This window comes from Homo sapiens, chromosome 15 (genome assembly GCF_000001405.40).
Source record: "Homo sapiens chromosome 15, GRCh38.p14 Primary Assembly".
Classification (NCBI taxonomy): domain Eukaryota; kingdom Metazoa; phylum Chordata; class Mammalia; order Primates; family Hominidae; genus Homo; species Homo sapiens.
The window spans coordinates 70,796,271-70,800,331 of record NC_000015.10 but is presented as its reverse complement, the minus strand read 5'-3'; the positions used below and the strand labels follow the sequence as shown (position 1 = coordinate 70,800,331).

Below are 4,061 nucleotides of genomic sequence, written 5' to 3'. Positions count from 1 at the left end.
GACCACAAAGAGCTACTTGAGATTATTTTTTTCCCCTAGAAACTTGGCCAACTCTGAGACTGAGGCCCAGGCTTGCTAACTCTGATATTTCCTCCCTCTCTGCATTCCTGCCACCCACAGCTGCTCCAGTCCAGAATGAAAGTTCAGAGGCCAAATACTTACAATCCAAACAGCCTCTCCAGCAGTGATGGCAAAGAGACAGCTTCACTTAGGAAAACAAACAATCATGCCTTCCATTTATATAGCTCTTTAGCTATTTTTTTTTCAAGAAATATTCACATCCTTTCTCTCATCAGATTATTCCCAAAACTGAGGTGGGCAGGGCATGTTTTAACTGACGGGGAAACTGAGGCCCAGACAGGCGAGTTGACTTCTTCAATGGGGACAAGGCTGAAGATAGAGCTCTGGCTTCCTGATTCCACGCCTTGGTTTGCCCTGTAGACCACACTGCCACGAACACAGATGCATGCTAGCTCCAGTTCTAGGAAGCCTGCTTTCAAAACCCTTCTGGAGGCCAGGAGCAGTGGCTCATGCCTGTATTCCCAGTACATTGGGAGGCCGAGGCAGGTGAATCATGTGAGGTCAGGAGCTCGAGACCAGCCTGGCCAACATGGCGAAACCCCATATCTAATAAAAACACAAAAATTAGCCGGGCATGGTGGCAGGCGCCCGTAATCCCACCTACTCGGGAGGCTGAGGCAGGGAGAACTGCTTGAACCTGGGAGGCGGAGGTTGCAGTGAGCCAAGATCGTGCCACTGCACTCCAGCCTTGTGACAGAGCAAGACTCTGTTTCAAAACAAGCAAACAAACAAATCCTTCTGGAGTTTTCTGCTCCCCACCTTAGAGTTCCTCTAATAACTACCCCACACTTCTTTTACTTTCCACTCACATCAAAAGAATGAGGAGAACACATCAAACCCTGCCCTCGGTGCTAGCTTCTAAACATTTTCCTTCCAGAAAATAATGGATTGTGTTTGAAGTCCCAACTTCCAGCCCATAGTGGTCCAGCTAGTTTCTCCTGCTGGAAAACAGAGGCTCAAAGCCACTTTCACTGTGAGTTCTCACCTTACCTACTCAAAATAAAACAGGATAAAAGTTAAAATTAACATCCAGAGAAGGCTTGGGGAGGATAAGCCACCAACCAAGGGTAAAACACAGTTTGAGAAAATGCAGTGTCCAGGTGAGAGGAGACACCTCACCTCCATGCTGCTAGACGGTTTTGAGTGAGACGCACACCTTTTACAGTGCTGGTCATCTTCTGCTCAAGCTCATGTTCCCTAAGAGGGATGATTTTCTGTATCCCCGCCCTGGAGCACAGGAACCTATTGGAAAGCTGAGATCTGCAAATTTATTGATTCTCATAAACTAGGTCAGGAAGAGCGAGAAATGGCAGTAATGGCACCTCCTCCCCATGTTCCTTGCTCGTGGCAGACGTGGCAATCTTTCTGGTTGAGAATGGAAGTGGCCTTAGAGTGCTTTTCAGTATGACCGTGGAGGCAGCTACCACCACTTGATTAGGCTGGCATGCTGGATGAAATCTATCTGCCAACTCTCTAGTTCCTGGTGGCCAAAGGCCTTGCAGAAAGTGAGTAGAAGTGGGGGAATTCTCCAGGTATACATGAGGTGGACATTCCTAGCTCCCGGAGGCCCCTATGTTCTAGGCTTTAAAAGCAAGGGAGCATGTTCACCTATAAACAAGAGCTTGCTGCTATAGGAGAGGCTTTGGAAACTGAAGGGCTTTGACAATAGTGAAAGCCAGAGGTTGACTTGCTAACTCTCCAAGGCATTCAGATGCGATCAGTTACTGGGCAGCCCATCTACAAGATTCAGAAAGTGTAAAAGACTGTCAAAAGTCATGAAGCAATGCTCTGAACCACGTTACTAGAAAATTATTAAATGAATGAGGAAAAGAGCAAAGTAGTGAGAACAGGACGGGATGGTAGCACCTGGTTAAATGATGAAGAAACAGGAGCAGAGTAGGGAGGCAACTTCCTCAAAGACACACTGCATGTCCTTGGCAGAACTGGAACCCATTTTCCTCACTCCCAAGCCAACTCTCTTTCAACTTCAATGTGCACCTTCCTCTTTCCGCTACAGCCCCACTTGTATTCCTCTACAAATCCTTACCTGCCCCAGCAACCCTTCACCCAGCCGCCATTCTCCCTGGAGGAGGATTATTAGCTTACAGATTTAGCCACAAGCTGACTCAGTTTAAACTGTGTTTCTAAGGTGGGGGTGGGGATCTCGACCTGTTCCTTTTTTTTCTTTTTTTTTTTTGGAGACAGAGTCTCACTCTGTCACCTGGACTGGAGTGCAGTGGCACAATCTCGGTTCACTGCAACCTCCGCCTCCTGGGTTCAAGAGATTCTCGTACCTCAGCCTCCTGAGTAGCTGAGATTATAGGTGCCTGCTGCCATGCCCAGCTAATTTTTATATTTTTAATAGAGAAAGGGTTTTACCATGTTGCCCAGGCTAGTCTCGCACTCCCGACCTCAAGTGATCCGCCCACCTTGGCCTCCCAAAGTGCTGTGATTACAGGTGTGAGCCACCTCATGCAGCTTTGATCTGCTTTCTACTAGATATGACAATTTGTGCTTCTGTTCTGAGGCCTTTGAATTGCACTCCAAATATCCTCAGGGCAGAGGTGTTAAGTGAGAAGCAGGCACTATTTGATAATGGGCCAGGACATTCCTACAGAATTCCAAAAACCGTTCACCTGTGGCCAGCAGCAGAAGAAGGTATGCAAAGAGAAGAGAAAGAAGGATGCAATGTCCACACATGCTAAAGGAAGGTAAGTATGACAGGTCTGATATACATACATGCGTTCCAAAGTATCCCACACTTGAGGATCCAGAAGATGGGTAACTCCCATAGATGGCTTTTAATGAAGAGCCCTTGCTTTTACAAGAAGTTATAATTGTGGCTTCCATTTTCACAGCTGGTAACTGCAACAGTCACATGAGGATGGAGAGTCTCTTCCTTGTACAGAGCAAATAGCACGGCCCCTGGAGCTCATTGGCATGGGTTGTCCAACTCCCCACTGAAGGGTGGTAACCTTTTAGTGTTAATTCAGTGTTTTAGGCCAATGTCTGGGTTTATTTTTCCCAACATATAAATATGAAGGAGCTTTAGCAATTTAACTTCTGGGAATTTATCCAATGAAAGGGTTAAGAATTTATGCAAGCTCTTCTGGTTCTAGGAGCTTTGGGAGCCATGGCTTACGGTGCAGACATGGCCAAGTCCAAGAACCACAACACACATGACCAGTTCCAAAAACGGCACAGAAATGGTATCAAGAAACCTCAGTCACAAAGATCGGTGTCTCTAAAGGGGGTGGATCCCAAATTCCTGAGGAACATGCCCTTTGCCAAGAAGCACAGCAAGAAGGGCCTAAAGAAGATGCAGGCCAACAGTGCCAAGGCCATGAGTGCACGTGCCAAGGCTATCAAGGCCCTCGTAAAGCCCAAGGAGGTTAAGCCCAAGATCCCAAAGGGTGTCAGCCGCAAGCTCAATCAGCTTGCCTACACTGGCTACCCCAAGCTTGGGAAGCATGCTTGTGCCCGCATTGCCAAGGCGCTCAGGCTGTGCCGGCCAAAGGCCAAGGCCAAGGATCAAACCAAGGCCCAGGCTGCAGCTCCGGCTTCAGTTCCAGCTCAGGCTCCCAAAGGTGCCCAGTCCCCCTACAAAGGCTTCAGAGTAGAGATCTCTGTCTGCCAACGTGAGGACAGAAGGACTGGTGCGACCCCCCCGGGCTGCCATCGGCATGGGGCTGGTGTCCTCCTGTGCTATTTGTACAAATAAACCTGAGGCATGAAAAAAAATAATTTATGCAAAGATTTAGCTGCATGGATGTTCATTACAATTATAATCGAGAAAAAGTTGCAACAACCTAAGTGTCCAACAACAGGGAACTGGCTAAATCAACTTAGTACTTCAGGTGGTAGGAAAATATGCAGCCACTAAATGATGCTGTCAAATGTATCTACAGCCACAGGAAATGTTAGGTAAAAGAGGAGAAATACAGCACAAAGCCATACTACAGGACAGACCTGTTTTTCTT

The 4,061-nt window shown here is 47.4% G+C and overlaps 1 pseudogene; it reads left to right on the top strand.

The window, feature by feature from the left end:
- RPL29P30 (ribosomal protein L29 pseudogene 30) lies at positions 3,186–3,815 on the top strand (annotated as a pseudogene).